This window comes from Homo sapiens, chromosome 7, assembly GCF_000001405.40.
Source record: "Homo sapiens chromosome 7, GRCh38.p14 Primary Assembly".
NCBI lineage: Eukaryota > Metazoa > Chordata > Mammalia > Primates > Hominidae > Homo > Homo sapiens.
Genome location: NC_000007.14, coordinates 16,432,371 through 16,458,422, shown reverse-complemented (window position 1 = coordinate 16,458,422; position 26,052 = coordinate 16,432,371). Strand labels below are relative to the sequence as shown.

Below are 26,052 nucleotides of genomic sequence, written 5' to 3'. Positions count from 1 at the left end.
TTCAGTGGGGAGGTGACTTAGGATGCTCGGTGTGAGAAAGCAGCATTCTCTTGTTAGAATGTTTCCTTCCCTCAAAGGCCGATAGAGATGACTCTCATCTTGGTTTCATTGGAACCTATTAAAATATAGCTCTATGTTGAATGGAAATGAGTCTAGATTTGTGAACTAGGTAGACATTTGGTCACCAGAAAACTCTGTTGCATCTGCAAAGAGACCTACTGAAATAGATATCCCAAAAGACATTGTGTTTGTCAATGTCATTTTCAGTTCCACTGGTGCATCATTCTTAATGTAATAGCTAATTTCACATTTCGTGCATTTTCCTGCATATTTTGCAAATTGTCTTGAAGAGCTATAGGGTGACAACAACTGCAGGAATCTTGAAGTCTCAAAGGGAAAATGTTTTGGTTTCCAGGTTCAAGAATTGATTTAAATGAATTAATACCAAACTGAATGCATAATTATTTCCAGAGCAAATTAAACTGAGTTTATCATCTGCATTTGGCTCACTTGCTGAAGGATTTATTTTTTGTTAACTAGCAAAACAGTTTGGGAGATTTCCTATGAAAAAACTTAAAATATTTTCCTCTAATTTAAGTAACTGCAAATGACTAATATATAGTATGCTAGAACTAAGCCAAACATGGACATAAAACCTTTAAAAATATCTGTTTGCAGGCTGGGCATGGTGGCTCACGCCTGTAATCCCAGCACTTTCGGAGACCGATAGTGTTGTATTACTGATTTCATTTTTAGGAATGGGATTAGGTACTTAAATCTGAGACAGATGTCTAAATTGAATGGCATTATCAGTGGCACAGACATATTAAACCAAAGTTTATTGTTATTAAAACTGATCAAGAGTTTGATATGCATGTCACCTGACTTCAAACTATACTGCAAGGCTACAGTAACAAAACAGTATGTTACTGGTACAAAAACAGGCACATAGACCAATGGAACAGAATAGAGAGCCCAGAAATAAGGTCACACATCTACGACCATCTGATCTTTGATAAAGCTGACAAAAACAAGCAATGGGGAAAAGATTCCCTATTCAGTAAATGGTGGTGGGATAACTGGCTAGCCATATGCAGAAGAGTGAAGAATGGGCCCCTTCCTTACACCATACACAAAAATCAACTTGAGATGGATTAAAGACTTAAATGTAAAACCCAAAACTATAAAAACCCTGGAAGACAACCTAGACAATACCATCCTGGACATAGCAACGGGCAAAGATTTCATGACAAACACACTAAAAGCAATCACAAAAAAGCAAAAATTGACAAGTGAGATCTAATTAAACTTAACAGCATCTGCACAGCAAAAGAAAATGTCAACAGAGTAACCAGACAAAATAGAGAATGGTAAAAATATTTGCAAACTACTCATCTGACAAAGATCTAATATCCAGCATCTATAAGGAACTTAAACAAATTTACAAGAGAAAAACAAACAGCCCCATTAAAATAAATGAACAGACATTTCTCATAGGAAGATGTACATGCAGCCAACAAGCATATGAAAAAAAGCTCAATATCACTGATCATTAGAGAAATGCAAATGAAAACCACAGTGGGATAACATCTCACACCAATCAGAATGGCTATTCTTAAAAAGTTAAAAAATAACAGATTGTTATTTCTGAGGTTGTGGAGAAAAGGGAACACTTATACACTGTTGGTGGGAGTGTAAATTAGTTCAATCATTGTGGAAAGCACTATGATGATTCTGCAAAGAGCTAAAAGCTGAACTACCATTAGACCCAGCAATGCCATTACTGGGTATATACCCAGAGGACTATAAATCATTCTACCATAAAGACACATGCTTGCAAACATTCACTGCAGCACTATGCACAATAGCAAAAACATGGAATCAATCTAAATGCCCATCAATGACAGACTGGATAAAGAAAATGTGGTACATATACACCATGGAATACTATGCAGCCATAAAAAAGAACAAAATCATGTCTTTTGCAGGAACATGGATGGAGCTGTAGGATATTATCCTTAGCAAACTAATGCAGGAACAGAAACCCAAATACTGCATGTTCTCACCTATATGTGGGAGTTAAATGATAAGAACTTATGAACACAAAGAAAGAAACAACGGACACTGCGGTCTGCTTGGGCAGGGAGGGTGGGAGAAGGGAGAGGAGCAGAAAAGATAACTATTGGGTACTTGGCTTAATACCTGGGTGATGAAATAATCTGTACAACAAACCCCTATGACATATGTTTATCTATGTAACAAATCTTCACATGTACTTCCAAACCTAAAATAAATGTCAAACCCCCTCCCCCAAAAGAAAAAACAAATGGACAAAAAAAGAGTTTGATATGGCTTAAACATAAGTTACTATAAAAACATAGGCATCATGATTTTCAGAAGAAATAAATTTCTTTTTAAATATTTGTCATTAAATTCATATAAATTAAAATTTTTTTTAACCTTACAACATTGGCAAATTTGTCACAAAACGATCATTCAATTCCTTTTATTCATTGAGATGTTAACCCAAATTTGGCATTCAATGACAGCCAAAACACTGAACCCAGCCATCCACTAACCAGCACTTTTAAACAATCCTTTACAATCTTTAATCAAAGCTATATTTTATGTTAAATAGTTTACCACTTTTACTGACCTCAACTTCCTGTATAATTGTTTGCTTTACTTCCTCCCTCACTTTTCAAATGTGGTTTATAAATTACAAAATAATTTCTTTGCTTTTTTTGGTTTACTTTCTTAAGCTCAAAGGGCTTTACAAAACTTTCTTGCCTCAAATTTATTTATTGTAAACCTAAGACAAAAAAACTGCAAAATGCATTTAATAATCTAGTGAAGGATTGCAACTTTGCCTGTTCATTGACACTTTCTTTCCTAAGTTGATTAATTTTGTCTACTTTTTTTTTTTTCAGATGGAGTTTCACTCTTGTTGCTCAGGCTGGAGTGCAATGGCACGATCACAACCTCCACCTCCCAGGTTCAAGTGATTCTCCTGCCTCAGCCTCCAGAGTAGCTGGGATTATAGGCATGCGCCACCATGCCTGGCTAATTTTGTATTTTTAGTAGAGACGGAGTTTCTCCATGTTGGTCAAGCTGGTCTCGAACTCCCGACCTCAGGTGATCCGCCCTCCTAGGCCTCCCAAAGTGCTGGGATTACAGGCCTGAGCCACTGTGCCCAGCCTTTGTCTACTTTTTATACTAATAACAGTTTACATTTATTCTTTGACTGAGTTTGACATTTAAAAAATAATAAACAAAGTTTTCAACTGGACTCATCTGCAATTTTGTAATGTAGTAACTTTATACAAGTGACTTTCAAGACATGTGAACTTGGAAACAGATCTGGGATCTGGATTAGACTCTGTGGCTACTAATTTGTTGGGTGAATTTGCACTTGTTTATTCAGCTTCGTAAAGCTTCACTTACTTCATCTGTAAATTAAGAGAGTTGAACTAGATAATGTCTAAAGTATCTTCCCTCTCTGAAATATTCACATTCTATTGTCTTAAACAATATGGTCATATTTACAGTCACAGTGACATACACAAAGGCAGATTTGATTCATGCTACTCTCTACTTTTGATTCTGTCCCCAGCGCACTCAAATGTGAACTTTTGCAATAACATTTTGGTCAAACTTGTTATGGAGGTTGACATGGTCTATCATAACCAATAAGGCAGGCAATATAGAATGAAAGTGGAGACCCAGCTTCAGGAGGGCTAAGACTGTAGCTTGTTATCAGGCATTTCTTACTCTTAGTCCAAACTTGATCCAACACCAGGAAAATGTTAAGGATCTGGGAGAAGGTGAGGAAACTCTGTACAAAACAGATTAGGATTTTTCTCTGTTAAAAAACTCTATTACTACTCTATTACCTCTTCCCTTCTAGAGAAAATACTATAAAGTGGCTGGAACATATAATGAGAATTGGGTTTTATTTTAAAATAATGATGTTATATTTTGTTGAAAGTTTTTATTTTAAAAATTATATTACATATTATAGGTGAGATAGTGATACTTCTAGTCAATATATTTTATAGTATTTGAAATTCATTAATCTACTCCTTTATTTAGTAATTGTTGAAAACCTAGTCTGTATCCTTTAGGTTCTAAGAACACATTGGTGTGCAAAAGGCAATCCAATTAGGAAAAGAACAAATGTCCTGTGGCAAAATGTAAAGGCAAATACATATAATCCCATTATTGAGCAAAATTTATATGTGTCATTGCTGTGATCCATCACCTAAATTGTACTATCTGGACTTAAAACAAGAACAGTATATGTCAGAAGGTATTGCTAATATCCCCACAAACATTTGAGATAAACCACAGCAAATAATAATAAGCATAGTGGAAAAAAACTTTCTTTTTAAAATTAATTTAATTTACTTTAATTCAATTTTAGATTCATGGGGTACATGTACATGTTTGTTACATGTATGTGTATATTGCATATTGCTGGGGACTGGGCTTCCAGGGTAGCCATTATCCAGATAGTGAACACTGTACTCAGTAGGTAGACACCTTTCTTTATGATTGTAAAACTTGTCAAATAGAGCTGAACCTTTATTTGTAAGCAGACAAAATCTTAGCATAACTTCTTGAAAAGGACCTATCTTCTTGTTTCAAATTGTTAGAAATTTTATAGAGATTTTTCCCTTTGATTATTAACTATTCATGTACTCATAAGTTGCTTTTTGCAGCCCGTCTTCTTCTAAGTATTCATATTAAAGATAAAAATTCCTGTTTCATGTTAGTTTCCATGTATTACGTGAAGCCATTTCATTGCTAATGATGGCATGAGTTTAAAGGCAATAGTTGTAGAAAAATTAAACAATCAAAATATGTAGAGACTGGTCCATCTGGGCCACTAAATATTGCTTCTATCCATTATTTAGAAAGATATTTTAAAATAATTATACACATTTCGAATAATGGTATTGTAATCAATTTGCTCTGCAGGGGGGCCTGTGATGATAGAATGATCTGCCTGGCTGCATATGGTAAGGTCTCAGGAAAGCAATCTCCAATAATATGGAAAATTTTATGGATTACATTGGATGATTCCAATGCTATCATGTAAGCCATGCTGTTATTTTATAAGTTAAGCTGGTTCTCAGCTATTAACATATGTTTGAGGGCAATAATTTTTTAAAGACTTGAATTGCATTTGGGTAAATATATATTATTTCCCCATTCCTCAATCCATATAATGGGGGAAAAATCCAAGAAAATGCCTCCAGCAGATGTTGGAGCTGGAACAAGGCTCTTTTTTGATCATTGTGTTCTTTTAGAGTTAAGACATTTATGATTCAGTTAATATTATTAAACCAAAACAGGTGTGGTTACTGAACATTCCAGGTTAAGACTTTTTCTGTTGTGTTTTATTCTCTCTTTCATTATCAGTAGTAATGAAAGGCATGTTCAATGGGAAGATGACCATGATACCAAGTAGCTGTATGTTAAGCTGAAGTGAAGAGCTGGGAAATGCTGATAACAGGGAAAAAAGGCTTGTAAGGATGTACAATCAACATGATAGAATAGCCCTGGAATGAGTTCTGAAAAGCCACAGTCCATGAGGACTGCTGCCCAGACTAGGAGCCTTCAAACCCTATAATTTCAAGGCTATCCGAAGACCTGCTGCTCTCTTTTCCTGGCTAACAAAACAAAACAAAACACCCCTTTGCAGCTCTTCCATAACTACAGATACCTAATTTCTACCATTAAAATATTATTTTTATTATTTAAAATTTTTGATTCCTCTCACATACAAACATCTCTAGAAGAGAAAATATATTAAGACAAGGTTTGCAAACTCAATACCTACTCAGAGCAATAGGTTGGGAGTAAGGCAAGGCAAAATGGTGGAGACTGTAGAAAAGCTGTATTAACAGCTCCAAATCTACTCCCAGACACAGCCAAATACCCTCATAAATCCAAATGTTTTTTATAAATTTTACCAATTTTTAAATGCTAGTCGCAAATTTTAGAAATATCCTGTACCTGCCAAACTGTATATACCTGCCGATTTGCTGGGATAGTTGAAGCTGTCCTATGGGCTGTATGGGGCTTCTTAAATCATCTCTCAGAAGTTAAGAGAGTGGCATGCTAATCTCAAGTCTGCTCTCCTGAATGGCCTTGGAAGATTAAGCTAAAATGTAAGCTTCCTGAAATCTGAGTTGACATCTCTATTTTAGTTAGTATTCCAAAATGAAACAGAAGGCACGCTCAGAATAAGTTAGGGAGGACTTATTTACAAGGAAACTAATCATAAAAGTCTGGATGGGGAAAGCACAGGGCAGAGCACAGAAGCCCAGGGCCAGCAACAGCAAAGCTGTCACCACCCCCAAGCCCAACAAAAATGAGGGATGAGTTGAGGTGATGCCTGGAAGGTGAGAGCACACAGGGAGAGAAGCAGTGAGCTGTGGTCAGTCAGAGGAACCTGCAAAGCGAGGGGGCCAGGGGAGTAATAACTTTGTCACTTTCCTTCCTTCTCCCAATTGACCTCCTGCCAGAGCTCCCCCTTGGCTGGGAGCTGGTGAATGTAACCCTACAGATCAGCCTTGGGCTTACCTTTCTTTGCAACATCTGAAAGAGTGTATTGCATTCAGTTGGCATTGAATTATTATAGAATCTCTTGTTTTATTTTGTTTTTCATTTCAAAAGGTAGATATTAAAATGCCCTCCAAGGTCCCTTTCAACATCAATCTTCTCACTTCATTACTTTATACTTGAGATGAAATCTGAAAGAGAAAATTTGGGAGAAGTTCTGAGAGCTTTGAATGTCTTACACTGAGGTCAGATATCAAGTCCTTCAAGAAACAAATAAACCTAAATTAAAGCCAAAAAAGACATAAAAACCGAGGATTTTTTTTTTCACAGTATCATCATGTAGCCTATGAAAAACAGGAGAATGTTAAGCATAGATCCCTGTATACTCTGAGGATTTTTCACTTGTTTACATTCTAGAGTCGGGATAGGGTTTGGCTGTTTGGGGAGGGTGTTTTTATTTTTGTTTTAGAGATAGGTGTCTTGCTATGTTGTCCAAGCTGGCCTCAAACTCCTAGGCTCAAGTGATCTTCCTGCTTTAGCCTCTCCAGTAGCTGAGACTACAGGTGTGAGCCACCACACCTGGCAGCTGCTTGTTTTTGTTATTAATGTTATTAGAGGTTTTAATAACAACCATGTCATTAGAATGTGCAGTGATTGGTGAATGATTAAATGCACAGTTTCTATTTGAGGGTTTATTTCAAAATGGTCACTCAAGCTTTGGAACAAGACATTAATTGAATAGAAACAATATACTTTATAAATCCATGAAAAATTAACTGAGAACAATGACTCATCAACTATGTTAGTACTCACCAAAAGGCATTATCTAGAACACAAATAAATACTATGCTAGGCTTTTTCCTTATCCTAGAAAAAGAAAGCGTTTGAATCTTGGAGATTTTAAGTTTGGCTGCCATTGCAATCCTTGGTGAGAGTAAAAAGCCAGAACTAAAACGTTAGGGTGGAAGGTTTATAGCTTAGAGGTAGGGTAGCTGCTTAACTCCTACATGATTTCAAAACATGTAACTGTAACCCATTCACTTTGTACCCTCCAGCAATCATCATCATGACCCATGCACCACACAGAGTTGTAGAAGGACATCGCTAGGGTTCCACATGCAGCTGGTCTCCTCCCGTGGGACAGTGATGATCACATCACAGTTTCACAGAGTGGGACAGATGCAGGGAATGATGACAGCAGTGTGCCAAGCCACTTTAGATACACATCAAAGCCAATCTTGAAACTTGGCATAGGTGTAGAATGATGGGAAATGAAGCACGCGGCTTTCAGAATTTCAGATACTCACTCTAAGGGGAAAGTACTGCATAGATAAAAGATGATGAGACAGAATGAACAGCTGTGCCAGGCTTTGCTTCGTGGTTACACTGCCGAGCAGTCTTTAGATGTGCAAAGGAGAAAAAGCACTGCCAACTTTGCAATTTCTTCTTCACCTACATCTGATTGCATAGAAATAACAACTTTGTAACTGGAATAGTTCCCTTTTCCTCTTATTTCACTCCCTTAACTTCAGAGGCCATATGTTAAGCTTAATCCATTTATGGTAATATTACTTGATCAAAATAAAGGCTCTAGAATGCTGGAATCTTAGGAATCAGAACACACACACAAAGTTTAAATGAGGCCGGGCGCGGTGGCTCGCGCCTGTAATCCCAGCACTTTGGGAGGCCGAGGCGGGCAGATCACAAGGTCAGGAGATCAAGACCATCCTGGCTAACACGGTGAAACCCCGTCTCTACTAAAAAATACAAAACATTAGCCGGGCGTGGTGGCGGGCGCCTGTAGTCCCAGCTACTCCGGAGAATGGCGTGAACCCAGGAAGCGGAGCTTGCAGTGAGCTGAGATCGCGCCACTGCACTCCAGCCTGGAAGAGAGAGCCAGACTGTCTCAAAAAAAAAAAAAAAAAAAAAAAAGAAAAGTTTAAATGAGAAATTCATGGAAACCTTACTTGTATTTTATTTGGCATATTACTAGATAGTAGTGCATAGTAGTGAAGAGTATAGGTACTGAAGCCAGATACCTGGATTTGAATCCTGGCCTTGCCACTTAATAGTTGATTACTTTGAGCAATATATGCCTGAATTTCCTCATCTATAAAAGGGATAATTATGTCTACCTTAGAAGAGTTAACATTTGTAAGAGCTCATATCATTAGTTTTTACTGCTGTTATTATTATGTGTCTTAAGTTGAGATTAGCTATTTGAGTGAGGGAAAATGTCCACTTGAATAGGGAGTTTATCTTCTCCAAGTCCTGGCTGCAGAAAGTAGGCTCAGAGAAGGATAGTGAGAAGCAGAGGAAAGAAGGAAGAGTTCAAAAGAAAGGAAGATTTGAGGTGAAATATCGAAGTATCTTTTGGAGGATATTCTGGACTGATCTTTTTAATTTTAAATAAAGATAAAAAGCTTTGGCCTTGTGTTAGTTTTCCAAGAGGGAGTTTTTCTTTTACTGTAACCATGCCTTTATTTATTTTCTTTTTGAATCATCTTAAGCTTTCTTTTCTTGGCTATGTTGTCATTTCCCATTTATTTCATGTATTTGTGTAACACAAAAATTGATATAAGAAACATTTTTACACATTTATTCTTTTACTGTTCTTGCTTACTTTACCAGTATATCACCAGTATATCACTTCAGGGCTCACCCGCTTGTCTGTTTCTTCTACGAAAGAAACAAATGCAGCTTCATTCCTGTTTTTTTATAATGCCAACAAAATATATTAATCCAATCCTAAATGTTCATATTATTGCTTTATTCTGTTTTTTTCCTTTTATTATTGATGTTAACTGATGGGTTGTTGCTCCCTAAGGTCGTGTCTAATTATTTTAAACAAGTTCTTCTCAAGAATAAAGGAATTTTGGGCACCTCTCCCCGTGTATCTTTTATTCATTTATTTATAATTATATAACCATATTAATTTATGTACATTATGAAATACACATTTAAAAACAGATATTGAATGAGACAAAATTGAATACAAATTTTCTCCCTACACTTCAATAGTTTATTAAAGCTTAAAAAATAATAATGATACTGGTGTGGTCTAAATGTCTGTGTCTCCCCAAAATTCATACATTAAAATCGAATCCCCAATGTGATAATATTAGGAAATAGGGCCTATGGAAGGTGATTAGGTTATGAGGGCTCTAACCTCATGAATGGGATTACTGAACTTATAAAACAGACTCCAGAGAGCTAGCTATTCCCTTCAGTCATGTGAGGACAACTAGAGTTTCCATCCGTGGGGAACAGGCCTTCACCAGACATCAAATCTGCTAGTGCAGATTTTATCTTAGACTTCCCAGTCTCCAGAACTGTGAGAAATAAATGTTTATTGTTTATAAGCCACCCAGTTTATGGTATTTTGTTATAGCAGCCTGAATAGATTAAGGCAAACATAAAGGAAGAAGAATATGAAACAAGTAAACTTGGCTACATTATTTGAAAATGATAAACCACATATAATTTTGGAAAATGCATAAGATTTTATAGTGTCTATCTGAACTATATTTCGAAGCATTTCTGGCACATTTCTCAAGTCACTGTTACTACTCCCCTTGAGTGATCTGTGCCATCAGCACTTGAACAGTACAAATTATAGTTTCCTATCATCATGACCTGATTAATCCTTCCCTTATTTACTAGTTTCTTTGACATATATTTTTCTTCTACATGCCAAGATGGTTTTATGGAGTAAAATCCGGAAGAGAATCTGAATGAAAATAAAATATTTAATATCATTCCAAAAGGCAATGGCAAAATTCCAGGAAAATGTTTCCTGCTATATGTGGAAATATATTTTATTCTTGGTATCACAAGAGGCTATTTGGAAGAAGTATAAATAGAGGCTTTGTTGCTAAAGATTCTTTCAGCATAGTTTCCTGGTATAAAGGTAATAAACCATTTTTATACCAGTATACTCTTTATATGCTTGGCAAATTTGCCTGATAGCCTTCAGAAACTTTATATCCTCAATTAATGGCTTCATTTGATATGAATATTAATTCTTCACTCGTGTCTTTTTTATATTGGAAAAGGAAGAAGGCACACTGGGAACATTAAAAGTTTGTGTCTATAGATGAAAAAACTTTGCTTCTTTTTTCTTTTCTATATGAGAAATAAAGTATAATTTCATAATTTTGAAATAGTATCTAGCTTTTTTCTTTCCTGTTTTGTGTTTGTTTCCATAGGAAAACCCATCATTATATAAAGATTAAACCAGGCTTGATTAGTAAGCAGTTGCTATTACAACAGTACATGTAAACCTTAGAATAACAACCAAACTCTGTGGGAATGGAAATAGAAATGTTATTATTATTACTGGATGACCATATCATCTATTGCCTATATTACCTCAGCCACATAATTGAGCTCTTAATTGCACTAGGCTTTAGGTGCAACATTTTTTCCTTTAATTAGATTGGAATTTCTTGGAGGGGTAGACCATGTTGTGTATCATCTGTGCAGCTCTTTAATAATAGGTTGATACCTTCTTAACAAGGAAGAATGTTATTCTTGTTTTTCCAAAGCATAGAATCCTCAAGTAGGTGAGGAAGTTGGGGCTGTTACTTTTGAGACCCTCAGATAGCAAGATGGCCAGAAGTGTGATGTCTTATTCTTCCCACCATGGGAAATGTCCCACAAGCCATGGCAAGAAGGCCCTGGCGCAGCTGCACCTTCCTGTCGATGCTGGGCCATGCAGTCAACTCCTGAGACCTGGTTGGCTGGGATCCCTTTGTAATAGGTGACTGCTAAATAGGCAGTTGTGAATTAATCAATAGAAAGGTTAGGTGTTGGTAAGGTTTGCTAGAAGAGGGAATACAGCATGTGTCGGGGATATCTGAAAAGCCTTTTTCATGTGGATGATATTTTCCCTTATTTTCTTAACATGCTTTCCCAATTTTTTATCAGGATCATTATCTCAACTCAGTGTGGCATTCCCACTTCTCCATTGTATTTCTTAATTCTGTAATTCAGTCCTTTTAAGGAGGTAAAATCAGCATCCCAGGCAGGGTTTTGAAACTCAGACAGATGACAAGTTACAGTGCATACACACTGTCCTTCACACAAAGAATCATTGTCTAATAAAACAGAAAAATCTCAACAATGTGGATAAAACAAAGTAGGTTTTTGTGAAAGTCTCATTGATTCATCTTCTCTTTGATATGGTTCTCATATGTCAAATAGGGTTTTAGGGCTAGTTGAGTCAGGCAGTTATATTATGATTGTTTTACTCCTTTTTTCTTGGTCCTAAACTTCTTTCAATAATGCTCGTAAATTATTTTCCAAGCCACAGCCAAAAAAGGCAACAATATTGACATATTCTTTTAACTTGATGAACCTTGACAGAGCGTAAACAAGCTCTTTACTTTAGCCATGATATAATAATTTAATTTGTTTTTTCTTGAATAAATTGTCTTTTTCCACTCCAAATGGGACCTGAGATTTAATGGCCCCTGGCAATGACCTATGGTGAGTAAACAGTTTACTCTTACACAAAATCTAGCTTAATTCTAGAGACACAGAACATGGCCCATAAAATGTGTCAGCAATAAGATCAGAGAAGCAGAAAGTATTCTCAAATTCTATTCTTAACCCCATCTCTGAGCCACAAAGACTTGATAAAAGTCATTGTTTTACCTCCATTTCTTCATTTTGGTTAAACTGTGTTATTTGTGGAGAAGAATCATGCATATTATTTATTACCATAGGTTATATGATATAGTTATTATGTGACAGGGACTGTCATATTGGCTGTGGTTAAATTGATTCTCTGTAGTATCAACTGAAATAAATAAATCCAAAGGCAAAATATATCAATTGAAATAGAAATATATTCTAAATTTTTCTATTTCAATTGAAAATAGAAATAGAATGAAATAGAAGAGAAACATATTCTATTTCAATTGCATTATATTTTGACTTTGGTTTTATTTATAAAGACTAAGAATCCTGAACCTAATACTGAAGGGGGAGGCATAATCCACAAGAAGAAAAACTTAGTTAAAACCACAGGAAAACGATGTAGAGGTAGCGTACAATGTGCTTATATGAAGTCTGAGTTCTTAAAATCTTTTCTGAGGAAGGACATTGCCCATAGACAAGGGGACTAGGATTGAAAAGAATGCATCCCCTATTACTTAGAGCAGTGGTCCTCAAACTGTGCTTTCCAAATCAGAAGCCTCAGTCTCAAGTAAGAACTTGTTAAATACTCAAATTCTGTGGTCCCTCTCCAGACACACTGAATCAGAAAATGATTCTGAAAAAAATATGCTTTAACAACACCTTCAAGTGATTCTGATGACACTTCAAAGTGAGGCCCACTGGCTTAGTGTAAGGCTGGCTAGATACCATGAGGAGGCACCAAATAAGCCATTCACTGGAGGTCCAGTATGGCATTGCTCTATCATTAAGGAATGTAGACAACCTGCTCAGCCCTGGGTTTTTGTTTGTTTGCATTTTAAAAAATTAATGAACTTTATTTTTTTAAAGAGAAATTTTAGGTTCACAGCAAAATCACGAGGAAAGTACAGATAGTTCCCTTATATTCTCTTTCTCCTACACACACACACAAAACAAAACAAAACAAAAACCAAAAAAACAAAAAAACTCCCCTACTATCAACATCCTGCACCAAAGTGGTACATTTGTTACAATAAATGAAACTGCTGAAACTATATTGACACACTTTACACGAGGATTCACTCTTGGTATTGTACATTCTATCGGTTTTAGCAAATGTATAATGACGTGTCCAAAATTTTAGTATCATACGGAATAGTTTCACTTACCTAAAAATCCTCTGTTTGCTACCTGTTCAGCCCTCTGTCCCACCTAACTCCTAGCAACTACTGATATTTTTACTGTATTCATGCTTTTGCCTTTTTAGCATATAATTGGAAACATAAAGTATGTAGCATTTTTTAATTGGCTTCTTTCACTGAGTAATATGCATTTGTCTCCCCCACATATTTTCATAGCTTCGTACCTCATTTCTTTTCAGCACTAAGTACTGAAGTACTTTTATTGTGCCAGCTTATTTATTCACTTGCCTACTGAGGACCCCTTGGTTGCTTCCAAGTTTTGGTTATTATGATTAAAGCTACTATAAATATCCATGTGCAGCTCTTTGCGTTAACAAAGTTTTCAGTTCATTTGTGTAAATACTAAGGAGTGCGATTAATGGATTTTATGGTAAAAGTATGTTTACTTTTGTAAGAAACTGCCAAACTGTTTTCCAATGTGGTTGTACTATTTTTGCAATCCCACCAGCAATGAATGGGAGTTTCTGTGGTTCTACATCCTTGTCAGCATTTGGTGTTGTCAGTGTTCTGGATTTTGCCCATTCTAATAATGTGTAGTGGTATCTCAGTGTTTTTTTAATTTGCAGTTCCCAAATGATATATGTTGCAAAATATTTTTTCATATGCCAATTTGGCATTTGTATATCTTTTTTAGTGAGTTATCTATTCAGATATCTAATTTTGGCATTTTAAAAATAGTCATTGACTGGGCATGGTGGCTTGTGACTCTAATCCCAGCACTTTGTGCGATGAATGCAGGTGGATTGCTTGAGCTCATTAGTTTGAGACCAGCCTGGGCAACATGGCAAAACCTTGTCTCTACAAAAAAATACAAAAATTAGCCAGGCATGATGGTGTGTGCCTGTAGTCCCAGCTATCTGGGAGGCTGAGGTGGGAGGATGGCCTGAGACCATGAGGTAGAGGTTGCAGTGAGCTGATATCGTGCCACTGCATTCCAGCCTGGGCAATAGAGCCAGATATCATCTCAAAAAAAAAAAAAAAAAAGACTCTGTGGGGGGAGGGGGAATTGTTATGTTTTTTACTGTTGAATTTTAAGAATTCTTTGTACATTTTGGATAACAGCCCTTTATCGTTTTAAAAAACTATCTCCTCATCTGTAACTTGTCTTCTCATTCTCTTGAAATTCTCTTTCACAGATCAGAGGAAGTATTTAATTTTAACAAATTCTAGTTTATCAGTTATTTCTTTATGGATAATACCTTTAATGTTGCATCTGAAAATTCATTACCATACCCTAATTCTCCTAGGTTTTCTCCTATGTTATTATTGTCTAGCAGTTTTATACTTTTTCATTTTGTATTTAGGTCTATGGTACATTTTTTAATTAATTTGTATGAAGGGTGTAAGGTTTGTGTCTAGATTCATTTTTGTCCATGTGGATGTCCAGTTGTTCCAGCATAATTTTTTGAAAATACTATCTTTGCTTCATTTTATTGCTTTTATTCTTTTGTCAAGGATTAGTCAACTATATTTACGTAGTTCTATTTCTGGGATCTCTACTTTGTTCCATTGACCTATTTGTCCATTTTTTTCACCAATACTATGTCGTCTTGATTACTGTAGCTTTATAGTAAGTCTGAAGTAAGGTAGTGTCAGTCCTCCAATTTTGTTCTTTTCCTTCAATATCTTGTTGGTTATTGTAGATCTTTTGCCTTTCCATATAAGCCTTAGAATGAGTCTGTCAATATTCACAAAATAACTCGTTGGGATTTTTTTTTTTTTTATGAGAGGGCGTTTCAGGTTTTGCTCTTGTTGCCCAGGCTGAAGTGCAGTGGTGCTATCTTGGCTCACTGCAACCTCCACCTCCTGGGTTCAAGTGATTCTCCTGCTTAAGCCTCCTGCTGAGGATTACACCTGGGATTGTAGCTGGGATTACAGGTGCCTGCCACCACACCTGGCTAATTTTGTGTATTTTTAGTAGAGACAAGTTTTCACCATGTTGGCCAGACTGGTCTCGAACTCCTGACCTCAGGTGATCCATGCACCTCGGCCTCCCAAAGTGTTGGGATTACAGGCATGAGCCACTGCACCTGGCCTCAGGCAAGTGTTTTTTCCATTTTTTCAGATTTCCTACATAGATGACAATGTTATCTATGAATAAAGACAATTTTATTTCTTCCATCCCAATCTGTATACTTTTTATTTCTTTTTATTGTCTCATTGCATTAGCTAGTATTTTCAGTATAATGTTGAAAGAAGTGGTGAGAAGGGGCATCCTTGTTTTGTTCCTGGTTTTGGTGGGAAGGCTGAGTTTCTCACCATTAAATATTATGTTAGCTGGAGGTGTTCTGTAGATATTCTTAATCAAGTTGGGGAAGCTCACCTCTCCTCCTAGTTTACTGAGAGTTTTTATCATAAATAAATGTTGGATTTTGTCAAATGCTTTTTCTGCATCTATTGATATGATCACGTGTTTTTTTTCGCTTGTTGATGTGATGAATCATATTAATTGATTTTCAAATGTTTAATAAGCCATGGATATGTGTGATAAATCCCACTTGGTTGTGGTATATAAATTTTCTTATACATTGTTGAATTCAATTTTCTATTTTTTTGAGATTTTTTGCATATATGTTCATGACAGCTATTTGGTCTGTAGTTTTCTTATAATATGTTTGTCTGGTTTTGATATTATGGTAATGCTAGCATCATAGAATGAGTTGGGAAGTATTTTCTCTGCTTCTATATTCTAGAAGAGATTGTACAGAACTGTTAAAATATCTTCTTTAAATATAAGCTTTTGGTTGTGTAGATTTTCTCTATTGATTTTCCGTTTTCAATTTCATTGATTTCTGCCCTCACTTCTAATATTTCTTTTCTTCTGCTTACTTTGGATTTAATTTCCTCTTCCTTTTCTAGTTTTCTAAGACAGAAAGTTAGATTATTCATTTTAGATAATTTGTCTTCCCTAAAATATGCATTCAGTGCTGTAAATTTCCCTCTAAGCACTCCTTTCACTGCATCCCACATATTTTGATAAGTTATATTTTTATTTTCATTTAATTTGAAATATTTTTAAAGTTCTCTTGAGATTTCTTCTATGACTTGTGTTGGAAGTATTTTGTTTAATCTTCAACATTTTGGGATTTTTCAGCTATCTTTCTGTTATTCATTTCTAATTTAATTGCATTGTGGTCTGAGAGCAGAATTTTATGGTTTCTATTTTTTAAAAATGTGTTAATGTGTTTTTTATGGCCCCCCATCTGGTCTATATTGGTGAATCTTTCATGTAAGCTTGAGAAAAATGTATAAGCTGCTGCTGTTGGATGAAGCAGTCCAATAAATGGATTAAGTTCATCTATGTCCTCACTGATTTTCTACCTGCTGGATTTTTTTCTGATAAAAGCGTGTTAAAATATCCAATGATAATAGTTTATCTCATTTATATCTCGTTGCAGTTTATCAGTTTTGCCTCATGTATTTCTCTCTCTGTATCTTCTTACTCATTAACTTCTTTTTCTTTCACACTGAAGAAGTCTCTTCAGCATTCCTTGTAGGATAGTTCAGGTATTGATGAAATCCCTCAGGTTTTGTTTGTCTGAGAAGGTCTTTATTTCTCCTTAATGCTTAAAGGATATTTTCACTGGATATACTACTCTAGTTTCCAATTTTTTTTCCTTCAGCACTTTAAATATGTCATGCCACTGTCTCCTGAAGGTGCAAAACTCACTGGTAATAGTCAGCACACAGAAAAATACAGAATATTATAACACTGTAGCTGTGGTGTGTAAATTACTAAACTTCAGTAGAAAGACTAAATGATGAACTAATCAAAAATAATAAACTAAAATAGTTTTCCAAGACATAGACAGTATAATAAGACATAAAGAGAAACAACAAAAAGTTAAAAAGCAAAGGGAAGAAGTTAAAGTGTAGAGTTTTTATTAGTTTTATTTATCCATGTTTGTTTGTTTATGGAATCAGTGTTAAGTTGTCACCAATTAAAAATAATGGGCTACAAGACAGCACTGAAAAGTCTGCTGTCAGACATATTGGACCTCTATTGCATATTGTTTCTTCTCTCTTGTTGCTTGTAGGATCCTTTCTTTATTTTTGACCTTTAGGAGTTTGATCATTAGAGGCCTTGAGGTAGTCTTCTCTGGGTTAAATCTGCCTGGTGTTAAATCTGCTGTTCTCACACTGCTATAAAGAACTACCTGAGACTTAGGCTTAACAGGAAGCATGACTGGGAGGCCTCAGGAAACTTACTATCATGGCAGAAGGCCAAAGGGAAGCACCTTCTTTACATGGCAGTAGGAGAGAGAGAGAGAGAGAGCCGGGGGGAAGTGGTACACACTTTTAAACCATCAGATCTTGTGAGAACTCACTCACTATCACAACAACAGCATGGGGTCAAGCAATTCTCCTGCCTCAGTCTCCTGAGTAGCTGAGACTACAGGTGCTCACCACCATGCCCGGCTAGTTTTTGTATTTTTAGTAGAGACAGGGTTTCACCATGTTGGCCAGGCTGGTCTCAAACTCCTGATCTCAAATGATCCACCCACCTCAGCCTCCCAAAGTGCTAGGATTACAGGCATGAGCCACTGTGCCCAGCCCTCTGTATCCTCAGCTGTATAATGAGGAGGAAGGAGATTTGAGGTTAAAATGCCTTACTGTGCTAACATATGTATGTTCTATTATGTTATCAAATGAATACTGCTTATTCCATTGAGTAAGCCATTTGAGTACAAAAAAAGCTTCAGTGAGGAAGTCTTTTTTTCAAGGTACTAATTATCTAGGGGAAGATTCTGGCAAAATTGTAAATTGGGCTATAAAGTTGTTTTGGCTCCTTACAAGCTTGAAAAGATCAATGAAATGGCCATAGTCATTTAGCCACTGTTGACATATCAATTGAGTTGATTCATCTAAGACTTCTTGAGTGCCTACCATGTACTAAGCACTATGACAAGTACAGAAGATACAATTGTGAAGAAAATAGATATAATCCTTCACACATACACTGACGGCAAAGTGGAAATTGGTTTTACCACTTTGGAAAACGGTTTGGCATATCTACTGAAAGCGAACATACGCATACTCTATGACTCAACAATTCCACTGCTGATACACACCACAGAGATGTATACATATGTTCACCAAAAACAAATCCTTTTAATGAACATATATTTATAGAATTATTTGGAATAATTCTCACTGGAAATTACCCAAATGCACATCAGCAATAGAATGGATAAGTAACTGGGGGTATATTTATACACAGTAATATCACAGAGCATTACGAATGAATGATCTATGACTACCCCAATAATATGAGTCTCCTAAACATTATGTTGAACAAAAGAAGCCAGACACAAAATAGTACGTACTGTATGGTTTCATTTATATTAATTCTAAGAACAGGTGAAAATAGTTTTAGCTGTTAAAAATCAGATAATGCTTATTTTTGGAATATAGCAACTTATGAGATAGCACCAGGAGACTTCTGGGGTGCTGTTTGTTTTCTATTTCTTAATGTAGACTCCAATTATACAGATGTGTTCAATTTGTAAAAATTCACTGAGTTCTACACTAGTGATATGTGTACTTTCCTGTATGAACATTATAATTCAATAAAAATGTATCTCCCTCCCCAAGAAAAATGACAATCTTACCACTTAGAGTAGGAGACAAATAAGCAAATAAGAACATAAATAAATGGTAATGAGTGCAATGAAGGAAATAGAGAGTGTAGCAAATATTATTCAAGTATTTACAATGGGGAAAATACAAACAAGGAAATAATTCCTTGTTTGGCAATCAAAGTCAATATATGTAGAACCCTTGGTGATTCAAAACTGATATTTGTCTTCTGTTTACTGAGGATATTTGTCCAAGGAGGTGCCCCATCTATAGTGGAGGATGTTGTAGACTGGTCAGTTGATCAATGTGATTTTCCAGTAACAGTTATGCAGTGCTCCTTGTATATACTTTCTTTAAGAACTGTAATTATGCTGCCCACCATGCTTATGGTTGCACCACCTGACTCTACTAGCAATCTGTTCTCCCTTTTCATCCACTCTGTCCCAAAGGAAGTACTAATAGTATTTGAAGATTTATAATGGAGATAAGTGACATTAAGAACATCTAGAAATCTGGTACTTTGGCTTCATTCAATTTATTTTATTAATTAAATTTTGGTAGCTGAGATTCAAATATTGCATGAATCTTATTTTATTTTATTTTTTTAGAATGTTGAAAGTGTGTGTGTGTGTGTGTGTGTGTGTGTGTGTGTGTGTGTGTGTGTTTGTGTGTCTGACTATACTCTTAAGCCTCTGGGGAATATTATGCATATATTTAATAATGACAGTAGAATGTGCTGCTTTAAAAAAAAGATTCTCACTGCATTGTTGTAATAAGTGAATATTTACAGATTGAATCTAAATTAAGTTCTACTTAAACCCAAGTTAGCTGTCCATCCAAAAAGAGGTTGAACTACATCAATCTGCCTGTGAAATATCCCGGAAGTCTTAAGAGATGTAATGAATCAATAGTTAAGCCTTCATCATTACTTTTTCCTGTAATTAATTTGTGACCAAAAGAATTCATTTCTATAATTACAATTTTATAAACCACAAAATGTGCTTAACACATGCTGTTAATGTGCAACAGACTGAGAAACCTCTGAAAAATATAATTCCAGTTGATTAGAAAAAGAGTCATCTCTACTTAGTCTGTGCTTCTGAATGTCTTGGCTTGGTCACCAGACCCCTACATGTTGCTAGCTGTCAGGTTACATCAACTGCATGCAACTCAACAGATCTTGACAAATTGAACTCTCCAGTCTGTCAAGGAGACAATAATGGGAAGTTCTTTGTGAAAAGAGCTTTTTTATATCAACTCTTGACTATCGGGGATCTAATTTCCTAGTTCTCTTTAGCTAGGACTTTGTCTCTCCCCATGTCTTACGCCTTGCCTTTTGGACAATTGACCCCTCTGTAAGTGAACCCCAGGAGACAGGCAGGGTGAGAAAAGCAAAAGGAACTTATTTGGTCAATTGAGCAACTGGATATAACTCTGACATCTCAGTATTCTTACCCTATAAGACTTGTGGAGATAATCATCAATTGCTTCAGAAAAGTGCTATTTAGGAGAATGAGAAAAAAAATGCACATAAAATTTGAGTCTTAGGCAAAGCAAATTTAAATAGTGCATGAAATGTGATTATTTTCAAATCTTCAAATTCACAATTTCTGAAAGTAAATATAATGGTACCTTGAATGGTTAAATTTTAAAATTCATTCTATAACCTCTCTAGTTTGTTTGTAAAACACTTTCTTGGGTTATATATTTGGGAAAAAAGCCTAATTAGTCCAAAGAAAGGCACATCTTTGAGAATGGATGTATTTATGCTCAAACACACAGTAATTTTTTTTTATTTTCCTCAAACTAAAATTACAGTCCTCAGAAAAATAGGAACATAAATAAGACTGAGATTTAATCAAAAGGATGTCTATTATTATATACATTTAAAACAAATGTGCATACATACAGACACAGAAGAGAAACTGCAATGTAATCTGAATAAGGAAGAAGCTTAAAACTTTGGAAAATAATTTAACACAAACTCTAGTTTTTTCACTCTTTTTCCAGAAAAAGAAGGAAATTGGGGAAAACTTTTACTGAATTAAATTAAAAGAAGGGTTGGGTAAATCCCTCAAGTTTTTGAATGAGTACACATATCCTTACTTTTAATGGGTTAATTCCTGCATTCACTAAGCATTTGGTAGGCGCTCTTCTGTCACTGAAGATGCTGTAGAGTATGGACAAAGTTCCACAGAGCTTTTATTATGGGACAAAATGACTAAGGACACCATTATGGAACAAACAAAGGATCAACAGTAAAGAATAAAGCACAAAAAGTGCCTTGCTGATTAACTGCCAAATTTCCAACACTTCTGTGGGTGGCAGGTTGATTGCCTAGACAGGTATAAATCAAGCATCCTCTCTAGTTCATGCTTTGCCTTTTTATTGATAAAAAGTGCTTAGGGCTACACAAGTTGATACTTGTTGGAACCCCTCAAACACTACTACCTTTTGCTGAAAAGGAAGGGCAGCTTTGAAAACAGAAGGTGCCCACCACTCCTTAATAAGCTTTTTTTTTTTTTTTTTAAAGATCTCATTCTATATAAAGCTCAATTAGACACTGAGGGGAATGTAATAAAAGCTCAAGGTAGTGAGGGACCCTCCCTTCCAATCAAGTGCAATTCAGCAGGAGAAGATGATATAACTATAAGAAACAATAACCAATGTTAGCATTACATTTTCTTTAGAGGTCATGACAGATTTTCACATACATTTTATTTTGAAAATAACCCTGTCGTGTAGGTAGGACATTAAAATAATATTATGATGCCCAATTTAAGTAAGAAACTGAGCTTGGCAAAAATGAATGACGTTTTTCAAAAATCACAGCACCAGGGATGAAACAAGACTTACTTTGTTCTACTTATAATCATTTACATTTATAACCACATCCTGCTCTTTCCCATAAGAATGTTAATGACAGATAGACCCTCATTCTTTCCTCTATTCATATATTTATTAAACATCTATTTGGTGGCTACTGTGAAAGTGATGCAAAACTCAGTTATTTTCTGCTCTCAAGGTGTCCATACATATTTGAGTCACACTTTATCTCTTACAAAACTCTTCTTAGAAGAATGATAAATCATCACTACATCTTATATAATGTATGTAATGAGGAAACAAAAGCTCAGAGGGATCTCCTCACTGACCTAATACCATAAAGATAGCCTGAGTTCAGGAAGATTCAGTCATTACTTAAGAGCTAAAATGAGCACAGAACTATAGGATATTAGCTATAAACTTTGTTGGACATGCATCTCCATTACTGAAAATTTTGACTCTGTACTAGCAGTATATTTTTAAAAAAGTTTAAGTAGTGTGCATGTGCTACTGTGTGTGCTACACGTATTTAACACTAATGGTAAATACATAACAAAACTCAAAAAATTTAAAAGTTTAAAAGGGATGAAATGCAAAGCACATATAAATAGAAGCTTTACTCCTTACTTCCTGTAGCCTAATGGATTATCTTGCATATACTTGAAAGCATACATATCTTTCTTTGGAGATCACTGTTATAATAGGCAATAAATTTTAAACAAATATTAAAAGAAAGACAGTCAATGTGAGTAGGTATACTTGCAACAAGTTCTGGGTGTCTGTTAAGCTTTGGGTGGATAATCAGCAATCTAGAAAAATCTGATCTTCAGATTCCAATTATGAATGTCTCTATTAAACACTAGTGAGATGCAAGTTTTCATAGTCACTCCTACCAGTCTGTTTCTGGGTTACACTTTTCAGCTTTTTGGACAACCTGACCATCAAAAAGCTTGAATGCCAATGATAAAAGTGAGAACATTTTGAACAAATGAATGTCTGCTCCAGCAGAAAAAATGAGAAACACTTAGATTTTATTTCATTCATGTGACAATCACACAAAACTCAATTAAAAGGGGTAGGCCTTTATAATTTAGAAACATTTTATTTGAATTCTCTATTAGCTATTAATATAATTTGCACTGTCGCAATAACTGCACCACTCTATAAAAACATTTAATTTCCACTTATGAACACGAGATCACTTTTCCCTCCACAATAAACTCTTTAGTTGAGCACAATTTTAATTACTTATTTATACTTTGCCCAAACTCCTCCTCCACAAGGAAACATTTTGTCTTCAAATTTATGGTAATATTGAAATTCAGTTTTTTAGCTGTTAGCTCAATGAGTAGTTTTTACCAAAAAGCAACAACAAATTTTCATTAATCCCTTCTTTGAAGGATCTAAAGCATGGACACCCCCACTCTCAGTCTTCTAAAATTAGTTAACAAGAAGCAACAAAATAATAAATCAAAGTTTCCATTTGTACCATTGTATGACCCAACTTCTGGAAGCACAATTTACAGTATATCTTCTGGACATGGTAACTACTGGAATTTTGCAACACCAGGTCCTTGACCCCCGAGTCTGCCAGGGCAAATTACTAGGGAAATAAAAATATAGTTTTTATAAGAGTAATGATGTTTTTGTGCTATACTAGGGCTCTTTGAAAAACTAATTGAACTTTAAGACTTTAAAAAAGCTTTTCCAAAATTCAACAACAAATTTGATTAAAAATTGAGTTACCATGCAATTTTGGGGAATATTTTTATAATGAAGAGAAAACTTGATTTCAATTTATTTATATTACACTTCTACTGAGGAAAAATTGTGGTGGCTTATGTCGGAAAATTTTTGAGACAATTTTTGAAATAAACATTTTGTAATAATGGAAAATGTTGAAGTAAGGTAATAAAATGAAGAAACAAGTATTTTCAGAAAAAAAGTATTTTATACTTTAGGATGATGTAAGAGCCATTATTCAAGATGAGAAGAAATCTTAATTTCTAAGGAATATTATAGTTTTCAATGCCTTCTTCAGTTGCCTCATCTCAATTCATCCAAGAAAGTTTGCTCAAGGAGACATTGCTCACTGTTCATTGGAGAAGAGTTCATTGTAATATTTTGCTAAAAGAGGCATTAAAGAGGCTGAATCTCACTATGGAGAGAACGGAAACACTGTCCTACCGTTTGGAGACAAGTATAGGTTAGACAGACCTGGGATCACAGCTCATCATTTCCTTTGGCAAATCACTAATTTCAGGTTTCACATCTGTAAAAAAGGAGCAAGAATAACCTTTGTATCACAAAGCATTGTGAACTGAAAGAATTATTGATGTACACATATAATACTGTGCCTAAAATGTGATACATGTAATAAGCTAAAATTATTCAACAAGTCTGTTCACAGAGTAAAATTAGACCTATTCCCTGATTCAGTACTCAGTTCATTATACCACACTCTGTTCACCTTCATCAATTAGAAATTGTTAAATTAGACCAGGTTTTCCAGCTTTGTAGATAATCTAGTATGGTGACTATCAACAAAGGTCTTCATTGGAATAAGCACTTTCACTTTCCTGTCTTGGATTCTGATTTAGCATCTGCAGCTGTAAAAACCCCACAGATGATTCTGATGTGTAGCCTAGCTGAGAACTACTAATCTAGTTTATGTGCCAGCCTCTTACTTTCAAAATCTCTAGCTTATCAACGTAAAACTACTGTTGCCTTAGTTGCTGTTATTACTATATGAGCTTTCTTTGCTTCCATTTGCAGTGGAATCAGAAGCTGGAATACAGCAGGCAATGGCAAAAGTGAAAGTGACACCATGACTCTATCTGATTTCCCCCCATTTGTTGATGGTTTCTTCCATTATTTCTGGCCGACACATTTACTTATGCTCTTCAGAGGATTTGTAAGCAGGGAGAAGTCTCCTATAAGATAGGACTCTTAATCCAGTTCCAGTCCCAAGATATGAAGAAGCAATTAACAGTTCAAATATGGCACCCATGATTTCAAATGAGAGGTCTAACTCAGATAAACAAGTCGTTGAAGTGGGACACCATGTCCACATGATAGAACATTAGGCAAAATACATTGTTTTTCTCCTATTGTTACTGCCAGTGGGTTATTTATCAAAAACTGATAAGCAGGTGACTTCTGTTAAAGAAAGTTTGTACATCTCTAGTAGATATCGAGCTTTTTGGCTCCCTTTCCAACATAGCGTAGTTTTAATGTTCAGAAATTCCTGCTTTGCTCAGTATACAACTGTAGGTAGAGGAAAAAAAGCTCATATCATTTTGTAGACATTTCTCTCTCTTAAAGTAGATGGCCACAAAAAATTATAATACTCAGAGCTTATAACTTTCAGCTTTGAGGTAATAAAAATCACCTTCTATTGTTCATTGGGGCTGGGTGTGGTAGCTCATGCCCGTAATCCCAGCACTTTAGGAGGCTGAGGTGGGTGGATCACGAGGTCAGGAGATGGAGACCATCCTGGCTAACACGGTGAAACCCCGTCTCTACTACAAATACAAAAAATTAGTCAGGCATTGTGGTGTGTGCCTGTAATCCCAGCTACTCAGGAGGCTGAGGCAGGAGAATCGCTTGAACCCGGGAGGTGGAGGTTGCAGTGAGCTGAGATCGCACCACTGCACTCCAGCCTGGGCAACAGAGTGAGATTCCATCTCCAAAAAAGAAAAAAAAATTTTTTTCATTGACTTTCAAAGAAATTAATTGCTTTTAATCTGTTATTGCAAATATTTCTTCATATTTGTAGTTTTGTTGACTTGTAAATTAAGATCATCATGTGACATGGTTTTAACTCTGATTAAAGTTACATTTAATATGTGTGGTTGAAATTAAAAATGGAAAAAATTACAAATATGAAGAATTTCTCACTGCTACCATTTCTCCTTCTAATAATAAAGTGTTAATCCATACAGTATGGTCCTAAGGAGAGCTTCACTTATAAGTGAGACCTAAATGTTGTCACATCTTGAAAATCAGTTCTTTGTATATCACTTGGGATATATAAAAGCAGGGTCATCCGTATCAGAAACAATTTCTTAAACATATACTCTCTTTGCCAATATTTCAACCCTAGTTTTGGGATTTTATGATGGCAAAGGAGGGTTTTTGACAGCTATTGGTACCTTAAAAGTGAACAGCCTGTAGAAATAAATGATCCCAAAGAGCAGATACAGCCATACAGATCACTCTGAATTTCTTTGAC

General features: G+C 35.5%; 1 long non-coding RNA gene across 6 annotated transcripts in view; it reads right to left on the bottom strand.

The window, feature by feature from the left end:
- Window positions 1-26,052, bottom strand: part of LOC105375168 (uncharacterized) — a 50,690-nt gene that overhangs the window by 12,953 nt on the left and 11,685 nt on the right. For 4 of the 6 annotated variants that reach the window (XR_007060223.1, XR_007060219.1, XR_007060224.1 and 1 more), the window contains 2 exons: window positions 24,036-24,090; window positions 6,592-6,761 (listed from right to left, as the gene is read on the bottom strand). This is a non-coding gene — a long non-coding RNA (uncharacterized LOC105375168). Of the gene's footprint in view, window positions 1-6,591; window positions 6,762-24,005; window positions 24,091-26,052 lie in introns of all 6 variants that reach the window. The other 2 variants (XR_007060221.1, XR_007060222.1) reach the window with 2 other exon arrangements.